The sequence below is a fragment of the Homo sapiens genome, chromosome 7 (genome assembly GCF_000001405.40).
Source record: "Homo sapiens chromosome 7, GRCh38.p14 Primary Assembly".
Taxonomy (NCBI): Eukaryota; Metazoa; Chordata; class Mammalia; order Primates; family Hominidae; genus Homo; species Homo sapiens.
Genome location: NC_000007.14, coordinates 44,851,465 through 44,866,183, shown reverse-complemented (window position 1 = coordinate 44,866,183; position 14,719 = coordinate 44,851,465).

Sequence of the window (14,719 nt, the reverse complement as noted above, 5' to 3'; positions counted from 1 at the left end):
GTGCGCCACCATGCCCAGCTAATTTTTTTTGTATGTTTAGTACAGACTGGGTTTCACCATGTTGGTCAGGCTGGTTTTGAACTCCTGACCTCAGGTGATCTGCCCACCTTGGCCTCCCAAAGTGCTAGGATTACAGGCGTGAGCCACCGTGTCCAGCCTGTTTTTATTAATCTTTCTTAAATGTATGTATAGCTCAAATTTATTTCAATGTTTAATATTAGAAGCTTTTTGGGTCTTTATTTAGAAGTTTGGTAATGTTTTTGTGACCAGAAATATGCTGTAGGAACTTAACTCTTGTTTATATCAATTACCCTGTCAACCTGAAAAAAAAAGACACTAGAAAAAAATTAACTCTAAATATGTTGGGTGTTGGGTTTACTCTGGAATAGAAATAAGGATTATAATCTAGAGTGCAGCTGGGCGCAGTGGCTCACATCTGTAATCCCACCACTTTGAAAGGCTGAGGTGGGCAGATCACCTGAGGTCAGGAGTTCGAGATCAGCCTGGCCAACATAGCGAAACCCCGTCTCTACTAAAAATACAAAAAAAAATTAGCCAGGCATGGTGGCATGCGCCTGTAATCCCAGCTACTTGGGAGGCTGAGGTAGGAGAATCGCTTGAATCTGGGAGGCAGAGATTGCAGTCAGCCAAGATCGCGCCACTGCAGTCCAGCCTGGGCGACAGAGTGAGACTCTGTCTCAAAAAAAAAAAAAAAAAAGAAAAGAAAGAAATCTAGAGTGCATGAAATGGCAAGCTACAAGTGCATTTAGTGAGGGAAGGGTGAGGGGAGCTTTTATTAGCAAAAAGAGATTACATAAGCTGCTTGGAAACAGAGTTCATCACTTCCAGAGGTTCAAAGCCAGAGTTGTCAGTTCCTTGGTGGAGATGCAAGTGTTCTTTCAAGAACATCTTAACCGAATTACTGAAATCCTAAAGAATGTCTAGTGATAAACCTTATCAAAGCAGGAGATTTGTGAAGGATATGAAAGGATTTTTAGAAAGTCCTTGGAAACAGTTCTTATTTCAGATATGCAAGCATGAGCCTCCTCTCCTTCAGACCTTCCTGGTCCTACTTTGCCTGGGTCTGAGAAAAGTGATTTCTTCCTGGTATCTCTAACTTTCACAAGCCTATGATAAAATTGGTTTTGTTAAAAACCAATTTAACTTAAAGTTCCATTTCCAAGAACCTATCAATGACATTAAGTGAGGACTTATATTCTAACCCTCTTCATTTATGGCAAGCTAAGAAATTTTGTACTTGGAATGACAAAGGCATTTCCTTATTTTTAGATCTTCTCTTCACTGACTACAAGTAAAATATGAAGAGCCTCAGAATATTGTTTAAAACAGTGTTCCCGGCTGGGCACAGTGGCTCATGCCTGTAATCCCAGCACTTTGGGAGGCCGAGGAGGGCAGATCACAAGGTCACAAGATTGAGACCATCCTGGCCAACATGGTGAAACTCTGTCTCTACTAAAAATACGAAAATTAGCTGGGCATGGTGGTGTGTGCCTGTAGTCCCAGCTACTCAGGAGGCTGAGGCAGGAGAATCGCTTGAACCCAGGAGGCAGAAGTTGCAGTGAGTTGACATCGCACCACTGCATTCCAGCGTGACACAGCAAGCCTCCGTCTCAAAAAACAAAACAAAACTAAAAACAGGGTTCCCCAATTCCTGGGCCACAGACCAGTACTGGGTCCTTGGCCTATAACAGAAAGTAAGCAGCCAACGAGTGAACATTACTGCCTGAGTTCCCACTGGTTCCACCTCCTGTCAGATCAACAGTGGCATTAGATTCTCATAGGAGCACAAACCCTATTGTGAACTTTGCATTCAATGGATCTAGGTTGTGTGCTCTGTATGAGAATCTAATGCCTGATGATCTGTCACTGTCTTCCATCCTCCCTGAGATGGGACTGTCTAATTGCAGGAAAACAAGCTCAGGGCTCCCACTGACTCTACATTATGATGAATTGTACAATTATTTCATTATATATCACAATGTAATAATAATAAATTGCACAATAAATGTAATGCGTTTGAATCATCCCCAAACCATCCCCCCGCCTAGGACATGGAAAATTTGTCTTCCATGAAATCGGTCCCTGGTGCCAAAAACATTGGAGACTGCTAGTTTAAAAAGAGTAAATTATACCTGTAATCCCAGCAATTTGGGAGGCTGAGGCAGGTGGATTACCTGAGCTCAGGAGTTGAAGACCAGGCTAATATGGTAAAACCCTATCTCTACGAAAAAAAAAAAAAATTAGCCAGGCATGGTGGCACATGCCTGTAGTCCTAGCTACTTGGGAGCCTGAAGCAGGGCGATCACTTGAACCCAGGAGACTAGAGGTTGCAGTGAGCTGAGATTGCGCCACTGCACTCCAGACTGGGTGACAGAGTAAGACTCCATCTCAAAAAAATAAATAAATAAAGTAAATTATAAATAAGTAGGTCTTTTTTTTTATATAAACAGATGCCCACAGATGTTGGCATTCTATACACTATTCTATGTCTTTTTTTCTTTTTTTAGTCTAACTTTAAAATAGATAATACATTTGCATGGTTCAAAATTGAAATAACAGGTCAGGCACGATGGCTCACACCTGCAATCCAAACACTTTGGGAGGCTGAGGCAGGTGGATCACTTGAGGTCAGGAGTTCAAGACCAGCATGGCCAACATGGCAAAACCCATCTCTACTAAAAATTTTTTTAAAAGTAGCTGGGCATGGTGGCAGGTGCCTATAATCCCAGCTATTCAGGAGGCTGAGGTGGGAGAATTGCTGGAACCCAGGAGGCAGAGGTTGCAGTGAGCAGAGATCGTACCACTGCACTCCACCCTGGGCAACAGAGTGGGACTCTGTCTCCAAAAAAATAATAAATAAAATATAAAATAAAATAATAAATAATAATTGAAATAACATAAAATGGAGATTGAGAAATCTTGATCCTAACTCTGTCTCTATCCATCCTCTTCGTTACCATGAGTAGCATTTGCCTTGGACAGTCCCATTTTGTCTGTTGTCTCAGTATGCCATCAGTTTAGCATTTGTCCCAGATTTTTCAGTCTTTACAAGGTAATATGATTTTTACTTTTACTAGAATAAGCAGGGATTAGCTTACTAGACCTCTACTTTGTATTCCTAGCTTGTCATGGTCTAGTATTGTGCTCAATGAACAGAGTTCTCGCTTGAACACCTGGTTAAATTTGAAAAAAGACCAGCAATGACGTCCCTGTGCTTGACCCTCCCAAACTCAATATAACATTTTCCTCTCAAGTCAGCATGGACAGCACTTGCTGACAAAACAGTGCACTTGGAGTGGCTGGGAAGAGCTCATTCCTTCTGTAGTTGTGGTGGTTGGAGAAGTTTTTCAGGCTGCTATCTGGGATCAGTAATAAATGATAGGCTAGTGATGTATGAACCATGTACAGAGAGAATTCTAAACGTTCTTGCTACAACTATTTTACCACTTATTGTATGGTAGAAATCTATATTTGTTATTTGATAATTTTTTTATTTTGCAATAAGCCCTTTCTTCAATAATGAGCTTAAAAGGTGTCTAAAAAAATACCTAAGTGAATACTGAATTTCCATTTCTGTGTATAACCTGCACAAATTTTTTGTTGACATTTACTATCAATGCCATATCAAGATCAATAACCAGGCTGGGCGTGGTGGCTTACACCTGTAATCCCAGCACTTTGGGAAGCCAAGGCTGGTGGATCACTTGAGGTCAGGAATTCAAGACCAGCCTGGCCAACATGGTGAAAACCCATCTATACTAAAAATACAAAAATTAGCTAGGTGTGGTGGCAGGCGCCTGTAATCCCAGCTGCTCAGGAGGCTGAGGCAGGAGAATCACTTGAGCCCAGGAGGCAGAGGTTGCAGTAAGCCAAGATCACGCCACTGCAATCCAGCTTGGGTGACAGGGCGAGATTCTGTCTCAAAAAATAAAAAGATCAATAACCACAGGAAATCCAGTAGACATAAATTTTCTGTAGAAGTTTCTGCATCTACTTCAAAATTTAGCAATTATCTTAAATAAACATTACCCAGAGGCCAGGCACAGTGACTCATGTCTGTAATCCCAGCACTTTGGGAGGCTGAGGCGGGTGGATCACTTGAGGTCAGGAGTTCAAGACTAGCCTGGCCAACATGGTGAAATCCCATCTCTACTAAAAATACAAAAATTACCTGGGCATAGTGGCGGGTGCCTGTAATCCCAGCTATTTGGGAGGCTGAGGCGGGAGAACCACTTGAACCCAGGAGGCAGACATTGAGTGAGCTGAGATTGTGCCACTGCACTCCAGCCTGGGTGACAGAGCAAAACTCTGTCTCAAAAAAAAAAAAATTACCCAGAGACAATGATTTAATTAATACAATTAATACAGAAGGTACACTTACAAATCACTCTGTGAAGCAAGACTTTTTACTTAAATAAATTGACTGTTTTTAATTAATTTCACTCATCTTCTCATCTTCAATTCAGAGTTTTCTTATGCCCATACAAAAAGTGAAGCCACGGCTCTTAATATGCAGACTAGACTAGATATATGTTACTACATAGAACTTCCAGTTATGTGATGCCAGTTTTATCAGTAACATATTCAGGTTCAAATAGAAAAATTGACTTCATTAATTCTGGTAAGTTTCAAATTTTTCACTCAATTCTTTTAATCAGTGTTGAAGTAAAACAATCTGATATTTTAATGTTACTATGAAATTAGTTTAAAAGTCCAACAATTCTGGAACGTGTCGGGGAAGCATTGCAGGGACGGAAAGCATTAGGAAAAAGATCTAATGCATGCTGGCCTTAATACCTAGGCTATGGGTTGATTTGTGCAGCAAACCATCATGGCACATGTTTATCTATGCAACAAACCTGCACATTCTGCACATGTACCCAGGAACTTAAAAAAAATTTTTTTTAAGTTCAACAATTAAAATTGTATTTGTGATAATACAAAGTTGGGTGGAGCAGATCATGGTAATACAAAAATGTATTTAATGAATTAGGAAATCAATGGAGGATAAATGTACTTGGAATTGGATGTAGTGTACATATAATTCATAATAATGTCCAAGCAAGCTGTTTTATTTTACCAACTAAAATAGAAGATGTAGTAGCCAAATTTTAACAAGTTTTGAGTAACTAACCTACAAAATTGCTGTGATAAAGTAGATGTTGAATCTAAAAAGCACTTCGGCTCACACCTGCAATCTCAGCACTTTGGGAGGCTTAACTGGGAGGAACGCTTGAGGCCAGCCTGCCTGGGCAACATAGCAAGACTTCATCTATATAAAAGAAATTTTTTTGTAATTAGCTAGCATTGTGGCAGGCATCTGTAGTCCTAGCTAATTGGGAGGCTTAGGCAGGAGAATCATGTGAGCCCAGGACTTCAAGGCAGCAGAGAGCTATGATTGCACCACTGCACTCCAGCCTGGGCAACAGAGAGAGACCCTGTCTCAAAAAAAAATAATAATAAAAATAAATAAATTTTTAAAAAGCACTTCAGCATGGCAGGTTTTGCCCATCATCCTTTTTAGAAATGTTTAAGCCTTTGAAAATCAACCTATCCTATACTGAAATTTTTGATAAATGAAGCCTCTAAATTTTGGTAGTATTTTATTGATTGATTGATTGATTGATTAAGGAGTTTCACTCTTGTTGCCCAGGCTGGAGTCCAAGGGTGTGATCTCAGCTCACTGCAACCTCCGCCTCCCGGGTTCAAGCGATTCTCCTGCCTCAGCCTCCTGAGTAGCTGGGATTGGAGACGTCCACCACAACGCCCAGCTAATTTTTTGTATTTTTAGTAGAGATGAGGTTTCACCATGTTGGCCAGGCTGGTCTCCAACTCCTGACCTCAGATGAGCCACTTGCGCCCAGCTGATAGTATTTTATTTAAAATCAATTGGGAACCTTTCATCTGAGCATTGAATGAATAGAATGATAAGAAACTTCGGCCAGGCACGGTGGCTCATGCCTGTGATCCCAAGCACTTTGAGAGGCCACGGCAGGTGGATCACGAGGTCAGGAGTTCGAGACCAGCCTGGTCAAGAGACCAGCCTGGCCAATATGGTGAAACCTTGCCTCTACTAAAAATACAAAAATTAGCTGGGCATGGTGGTGGGTGTCTGTAATCCCAGCTACTTGGGAGGCTGAGGCAGGAGAATTGCTTGAACCCAGGAGGTGGAGGTTGGAGTGAGCTGAGATTGAAACATTGCACTCCAGCCTGGGTGACAGAGTGAGACTCCGACTCTGAAAAAAAAAAAAAGAAAGAAACTTCAGGCCGGGAGCAGTGGCTCAGGCTTGTAATCCCAGCACTTCAGGAGGCCAAGGCAGGCAGATTACTTGAGGTCAGGAGTTCAAGACCAGCCTGGCCAACATAGTGAAACCCAGTCTTTCTTAAAAATACAAAAATTAGCCAGGCACAGTGGCAGGCACCTGTAATTCCAGCTACTCAGGAGGCTGAGGCAGGAGAATTGCTTCAACCTGGGAGGTGGAGGTTGCCGTGAGCTGATACCATGCCACTGCACTTCAGCCTGGGTGACAGAGTGAGACTCCATCTAAAAGAAAAAAAAAAAAGGAAAGAAAGAAACTTCGGTTTATGAGCCCTTACTAAGTTGCAAAGTGTTGAGAGCAATACTTGCAAACAGGAAGACATTAGACTTGATCCCTAGCAGGGAAAGCTTGAAAAAATAATGATAAATCACTCTGAAATACCTTGGCTTATGGAAAAAATCTTGTAATGCAACTTTTTTTTTTTTTTTTTTTTGAGACAGGTCTTACTCTGTCACCAGGCAGGGGTGCAGTGGCACGATCTTGGCTCACTGCAGCCTCAACCTCCTAGGCTCAGGTGATTTTCCCACCTCAGCCTCCAGGGTAGCTGGGACTATAGGCAGGGACCACCACCACACCCAGCTAACTTTTTGTATTTATTGTAGAGATGGGGTTTCGCTATGTTGCCCAGGCTGGTCTTGAACTCCTGGGTTCAAGCAATCCTCCCACCTCAGCCTCTCGAAGCAATGAACTTCCATTTTTAATTGGATAAATGTATATTCTGGCCAGGCGTGGTGGTTCATGCCTGTAATCCCCGCACTTTGGGAGGCTGAGGCTGGCAGATCACGTGAGGTCAGGAATTTGAGACAGCCTGGCTAACATGGCGAAACCTCGTCTCTCCTAAAAGTACAAAAATTATCTGGGTGTGGTGGCGCATGCCTGTAATCCCAGCTACTCTGGAGGCTGAGGGAGGAGAATCACTTGACCCTGAGAGGCAGAGGTTGCAATGAGCTGAAATGGCAGCCACTGCACTACAGCCTGGGTGACAGAGTAAGACTCTGTCTCAAAAAAAAACAAAAAACAAAACAAAAAAAACCCATTATATTCTGTACTGGAATGGAGTGAAATTGAGAGGGCTTACTATTTTGTAGCATATAAATTTGATGAAACAGGCTGGGTGGGGTGGCTCACGCCTGTAATCCCAGCACTTTGGGAGGCCAAGGCGGGCGGATCACTTGAGGTCAGGAGTTTGAGACCAGCCTGGCCAACATGGCAAAACCCCGTCTCTACTAAAAATACAAAAAAATTAGCTAGGCATGGTGGCGGGTACCTGTAGTTCCAGTTACTCAGGAGGCTGAGGCAGGAGAATCGCTTGAACATGGGAGGCAGGGGTTGCAGTGAACTAAGATCCTGCCACTGTACTCCAGCCTGGGCGACACAGTGAGACTCTGGCTCAAAAAAAAAAAGGAAAAAAATATATACAAGTTACATTTCTGCAAGAGAAAAAAAAAGTTTCATTTTCCATTTGTGCATTGCTAGTGGATAAAATAGGTAATGCATGCACATTGTACAAATTCTAGTGACCCAAGTTTTTTTTAAAGAAACAATTTTCTTGTAAAAACATTTGTTGCCAATTTACTTTAAATTTACTTCAACATACCCAGTTGAAAATGGGGCAAAATAAATGAGAATATAAAATAAAGTAAAAGAGGCCATGAGATATTATTGTAGCTGAGTGATGCCAGGTTCACTGCACTATTTGTTTTACTTTCATATGAGCTTAAAGTTTTTGATAAGAGAAAGTTTAAAAACAAAACAAAACAAAATCATATGCTGTATCAGTCAACATTCATTCAGGTTCCAGAAAATACAATGTTTTTTTGTTTTGATACAGGGTCTCACTCTGTCGCTCAGGCTGGTCTCAAACTCCTGGGCTCAAGGGATCCTCCTACCACCAACTCCGCCTCCCTAAGTGCTGGAATTACACACATGAGCCACTGTGCCCAGCCCATCACTTATCTGAACAGAGACAATATAAGATATCATTAACTGGGTATAATATTGTTAACTACTAGGGCCAGGCGCGGTGGCTCACACCTGTAATCCCAGCACTTTGGGAAGCCAAGGCGGGTGGATCATGAGGTCAGCAGTTCGAGACCAGCCTGGCCAACATGGTGAAACCCCGTCTCTACCACAAATACAAAAATTAGCTGGGCGTGGTGGTGGGCGCCTGTAATCCCAGCCACTGGGGAGGCTGAGGCAGAAGAATCATTTGAACCCAGGAAGCAGAGGTTGCAGTCAGCCGAGATCTCGCCATTACACTCCAGCCTTGGTGACAGGGTGAGACTCTGTCTCAAAAAAAAAAAAAAAAAAAAAAAAAAATATATATATATATATATATATATATATATATAACTATATATACTATATATAACTACATATATGATCATATATCTATAGTTAACTACTAAAGGGTAAAAAGAGAACTCTAAGGTGTCATGGAGGTAGCAACTAGCAGCTACCTTGAAAAAATCAAAGGGAAAATCTTAGAAACCTAGAGAAAGGGACCTCTAGAGCTGCAACTCAAACCTCTGAGGAAGGAGCCGGCTGGTGCTGGTGAGGGGGTTAGAGACAATTAGGCTGGCTTTTCAAGAGTTGGAAAAACTGAGTCAGCTGCTGCTACCTAACGAACTGCTCCAGCCAGAGTGAAGTCCTGAATAAGTGACACTCAGAGAAACAGAAAGCGGACTGGAGGGCGCCTTCAGTCTTTCCATTTCCCTCTAGTTCCCCCTATTGGCAAAGCCTAGCAGGGAAGCAAAGGCAAAGCAGAAGTGTGTTTTGCAGAGTCCCAGGCATCACAGCTGAGTATAGAAGGGTGGGTGCATCCTGATTGACCTCATTTAGAACTGGCCAGGCTTGGGCCAGGCTCACTGGCTCACGCTTGTAATCCCAGCACTTTGGTAGGCTGAGGCGGGCGGATCACAAGGTCAGGAGATCGAGACCATCCTGGCTAACACGGTGAAACCCTGTCTCTACTAAAAATACAAAAAAAAAAAGTCGCCGGGTGTGGTGGCGGGCACCTGTAGTCCCAGCTACTCCGGAGGCTGAGGCAGGAGAATGGCGTGAACCCGGAAGGCGGAGCTTGCAGTGAACCGAGATGGCGCCACTGCACTCCCGCCTGGGTGACAGAACGAGACTCCGTCTCAAAAAAAAAAAAAAAAGAAAGAAAAATTGGGCAGGTTCTGGCTCATGTGAGTAGCTGCCTTGCCACTGCAATCTGCCCTAAACCTTTCCAGGAATTTTTACAAAATAATAGTAATAATAATAATACAGTCATGTGCCACATAGGGCATTTATTTGTGGCCCCATAGGATTACAATGAAATTGAAAAATTCCTATTGCCTAGTGACATCATAACCATCTTAGCCATTATAACCTCTTAGTGCCAGGCATTACCCACGTTTCTGGTGATGCTTGTGTAAACAAACCTACTGGCTGCCAGTTGTATAAAAGTATAGCACTTGCAATTATGTACAATATATAATTGCTAATGATAATAAAAAACTATGTTACTGATACTTTTTTTTTTTTTTGAGACAGAATCTTGCTCTGTGGCCCAGGATAGAGTGCAGTAGTGTTATCTCGGCTCACTGCAACCTCCACCTCCCAGGTCCAAGCGATTCTCCTGCCTCAGCCTCTTGAGTAGCTGGAATTATAGACGTGTGCCACCATGCCAGCTAATTTTTGTATTTTTAGAGAGACAGTGTTTCACCATGTTGGGCAGCTGGTCTCGAACTCCTGGCCTCAGGTGTCTGCCAGCCTCGGCCTCCCAAAGTGCTGGGATTGCAGGCATAAGCCACCGCGCCCAGTAGTTACTGGTACTTTTTATCAATATTTTATTTATTTTTATTTTTTATTTTTTGAGACAGAGTCTCGCTCTGTCGCCCAGGCTGGAGTGCAGTGGCTCGATCTCAGCTCACTGCAACCTCCGCCCCAGGTTCAAGCGATTCTCCTGTCTCAGCTCCCCCGAGTAGTTGGGACTACAGGTATCTGCCACCACGCCCGGCTAATTTTTGTATTTTTAGTAGAGACGGGGTTTCACTATGTTGGCCAAGCTGGTCTCAAGCTCCTGACCCCAAGTGATCCGCCCACCTCGGCATCCCAAAGTGCTGGGATTACAGGCGTGAGCCACCACGCCTGGCCCTTTATCATTATTTTAGAGTGTACTCCTTCTACTCATAAAAAAAGAACTGTAAAACAGTCTCAGGCAGGTCCTTCAGGAGGGATCCACAAGAAGGCATTGTTATCACAGGACATGACAGCTCCATATGTGTTAATGCCCTTGAAGACATTCCAGTGTGACAAGATGTGGAGCTGGAAGACAGTGATATTGATGATCCTCACCCTGTATAGACCAAGGCTAATATGTGTGTTTGTTTCTTCATTTTTAACATACAAGTTTTTAAAAGTGAAAAAACAATTTTTTTTAATTAAAAATAGACCAGGTGCCATGGCTCACGGGTCTGTAATCCCAGCACTCTGGGTGGCCAAGAGGGGAAGGATCACTTAAGTCCAGGAGTTGGAGACCAGCCTGGGCAACATGGTGAAACCCCGTCTCTACAAAAAATACAAAAATTTGCCGGGCCTGGTGATCTGTGCCCATAGTCCCAGCTACTCAGGAGCCTGAGGTGAGAGAATCACTTGAGCCCAGGAAGCGAAGATTGCAGTGAGCTGAGATTGCGCCATTGCACTGCAGCCTGGGTGGCAGAGTAAAATCCCTTCTCAATAAAAAGCAAAAAGCTTACAGAATATGGATATGAAGAAATAAAACATTTTGTGCAGTCATACAAGGTATTTGTGTTTTAAGCTAAGTGTTTTACAAAAACTCAAAAAAATTTTTTAATGTAAAGGTTTATAAAGTTAAAAAGTTATGGTAAGCTAAGGTTAACTTATTATTGAAGAAAAATATTTTTATAAATTTAGAGGAGCCTATGCACACTGTTCATAGTCTCCAGTACTATACAGTATAAAGTCCTAGGCCTTCACATTCATTCACCACCCACTCACTGAATCATTCAAAGCAACTTCCAGTCCTGCAAGCTCCATTTATGGTAAGTGCCCTATACAAGTGTACTATTTTGTATCTTTTTTGGGGTTTTTGTTTGTTGGTTTGTTTTTTGAGACAGAGTTTCGCTCTTGTTGCTCAGGCTGGAGTGCAATGGCACGATCTCGGCTCACTGCGACCTCTGCCTCCCAGGTTCAAGCGATTCTCCTGCCTCAGCCTCCCCAGTAGCTGGGATTACAGGCATGTGCCACCACACCCAGCTAATTTTTGTATTTTTAGTAAAGATGGGGTTTCACCATGTTGGCCAGGCTAATCACGAACTACTGACCTCAGGTGATCTGCCCACCTCAGCTTCCCAAAGTGTTGGGATTATAGGCATGAGCCACCCCAGCCCAGCCTTGTATCTTTTATACTGTATTTTTACTGTTCCTTTTCTATGTTTAGGTATACAAATACTTACCATTATGTTACAGTAGTATTCAGCACTAGTAACATGCTGTACAGATTTGTAGCCTAGGAACAACAGGCTATGCCATATAGCTAGGTGTCTAGTAGGCTATATATACCATCTAGGTTTGTGTAAGTACACTCTATAATGTGAGCATGATGATGAAATTTCCTAATGACACATTTCTCAGAAGGTATCCCCATCAGTAAGCAATGCATGACTGTACTTTAAAAAGGAGAATTTGGCTATCCTTTACAAAAGTAGCCAAAAGAGGCCGGGCGCGGTGGCTCACGCCTGTAATCCCAGCACTTTGGGAGGCCAAGGCGGGTGGATCACGAGGTCAGGATATCGAGACCATCCTGGCTAACACGGTGAAACCCCGTCTCTACTAAAAATACAAAAAAAAATTAGCTGGGCGTGGTAGCGGGGGCCTGTAGTCCCAGCTACTCGGGAGGCTGAGGCAGGAGAATGGCGTGAACCTCGGAGGCGGAGCTTGCAGTGAGCCGAGATCGCGCCACTGCACTCCAGCCTGGGCGACAGAGCGAGACTCCGTCTCAAAAAAAAAAAAAAAGGAATAGCCAAAAGAAAATTTCTGTCTCTTACAGTCTTTGTGATATTTTGAAGAGCACTGCAGCATTAAAATGGAATTTAAAAGTGAACACAGGGATAAAAAGCTCCTGCAATCTATGTATAGTAATCTTTAAGTCTGAAGTCTCTAAATGCTAACACACTTCACTGTATCAGCAACACCTCTGCAGAGGTGAAACTGATGACTAAGGGCAAGGATGGGAGGAGTTTGTGTGTCTGTGTGTATGAGTCTTGCTCTCACTCAGGCTGGAAGGCAGTGGCACAATCACAGCTCATTGCATCCTTAAATTCCTGGGCTCAAGTGATCCTTCTCCCTCAGCCTCCTGAGTAGCTGGGACTACATGTGCACGCCACCATGCCTGGCTTATTTTCTTAATTTTTTTATTTTTTGAGACGGAGTCTTGCTGTGTCGCCCAGGCTGGAGTGCAGTGGCGCAATCTCGGCTCACTGCAGGCTCCGCCTCCCGGGTTCATGCCATTCTCCTGCCTCAGCCTCCCGAGTAGCTGGGACTACAGGCGCCCGCCACTACGCCCGGCTAATATTTTGTATTTTTAGTAGAGACGGGGTTTCACCGCGTTAGCCAGGATGGTCTCGATCTCCTGACCTCGTGATCTGCCTGCTTCGGCCTCCCAAAGTGCTGGGATTACAGGCGTGAGCCACCGCGCCCGGCTTATTTTTTTTATTTTTCACAGAGATGTGGGTCTCACTATGTCACCCACACTGGTCTCGAACTCCTGGGCTCAAGCGATCCTCCTGCCTTAACCTCTAAAGTGCTGAGATTACAGGCATGAGCCACTGCACCAGGGGAGTCTTTTCACTGTATACCCTTTGTACATTTTGAAATTTTGTACGTGTGAATATCTTGCCTACTCAAAAATTGACTACATTTTTGCAGAGAAAAGTCATTGTCTTAGTTCAGGTTTCCCAGGAAACAAATGGGATTTGCTTTCAAGAGGTAATAGTATGGAATGCTCTTGGGGACATTACTAGGAGAAAATAGAGGAAGTAGGATTACGCAGAAGTTGAACTTCAATGCAGTTAGATCAAGTCAAAACTAATCACACAAGAAACTCTGGAGCTGGAATGGCCCTTCAGAATTGTCTCAAATTAAGGCAAAAGAGCTAGGCACTATATCCTACATCCACCAGTCACTGGAGGTAGGCCCCCTAAAAAGGAGTGTAAACTTGGGCGATACAGCTTCCTTTGGCCAAGTCCAATTCCTGGGTAGAGATCCCTGAGTAATGATCAGTCAACACTTCCAGGAGCTAAATAAGTGCTCCAGTTTTTTTGTTTTTGTTTTTTTGAGACAGAGTCTTGCTCTGTTGCCCAGGCTGGAGTGCAGTGGCGTCATCTCGGCTCATTGCAACTTCCACCTCCTGGGTTCAAGTGATTCTCCTGCCTCAGCCTCCCAGAGTAGCTGGGACTACAAGCGCATGCCACTACACCCAGCTAATTTTTGTTTTAGTAGAGATGGGGTTTCACCATGTTGGCCAAGCTGGTCTGGAACTCCTGACCTCAGGTGATCTGCCCACCTCAGCCTCCCAAAGTTCTGAGATTACAGGGATGAGCTACCACACCTGGCCAAGTGCTCCAGTTTTATAAGGAATACGTGGGCTCTGGACTGTGCACTGCAGCATATACTATACCAGTGGTTCTTAAATTTCAGTATGCACCAGAATCCCCTGGAGCGCTTGTAGGTCCCACCCTCAGTGTCAGATTCAGCAGGTCTGGGGTGGTGGTGAGAATACATTTCTAACAAGTTCCAAGTGATGCTGATGCTGGTGGTCTAAGGATCACACTTTGAGAACAATTATACTATATATTACTGGGTTAAATCCAGCAACATTGAATAATTTTTTTTTTAGAGATACAGTCTGGTTCTGTTGCCTGTCTGGTGAGCAGTGACACAATCATACATAGCTCACTGCAGCCTTGAACTCGTGGGCTCAAGTTCTCTACCCACCTCAGCCTCTCAACTAGCTGGGATCACAGGCATGTGCCACACACTCAGCTAATTTTTTTCTTTTAATTTTTGTAGAAGTGGAGTCTTGCCATGTTGCCCAGGCTGGTCTCAAACTCCTGCCCTGGTGACTCATGCCTTGGCCTCCCAAAGCTTTAGGATTACAGGCATGAGCTACCATCCCCAGCCCAAAGTTGAATAATTTGTCAATGTTTGTAGTTTATCATTTATAGATGCTAATACATAACATTTTCTGGTTAGACTGGTGTTCTTCATGAGCTCATCTTTGCCTTTTTTGTTACCCTAGTTCACTAGAAACTAAATTTTACTAACACACTTGGTTTATAAAACTGTTAGTAGGCAGACTTTTTTCTGGCATC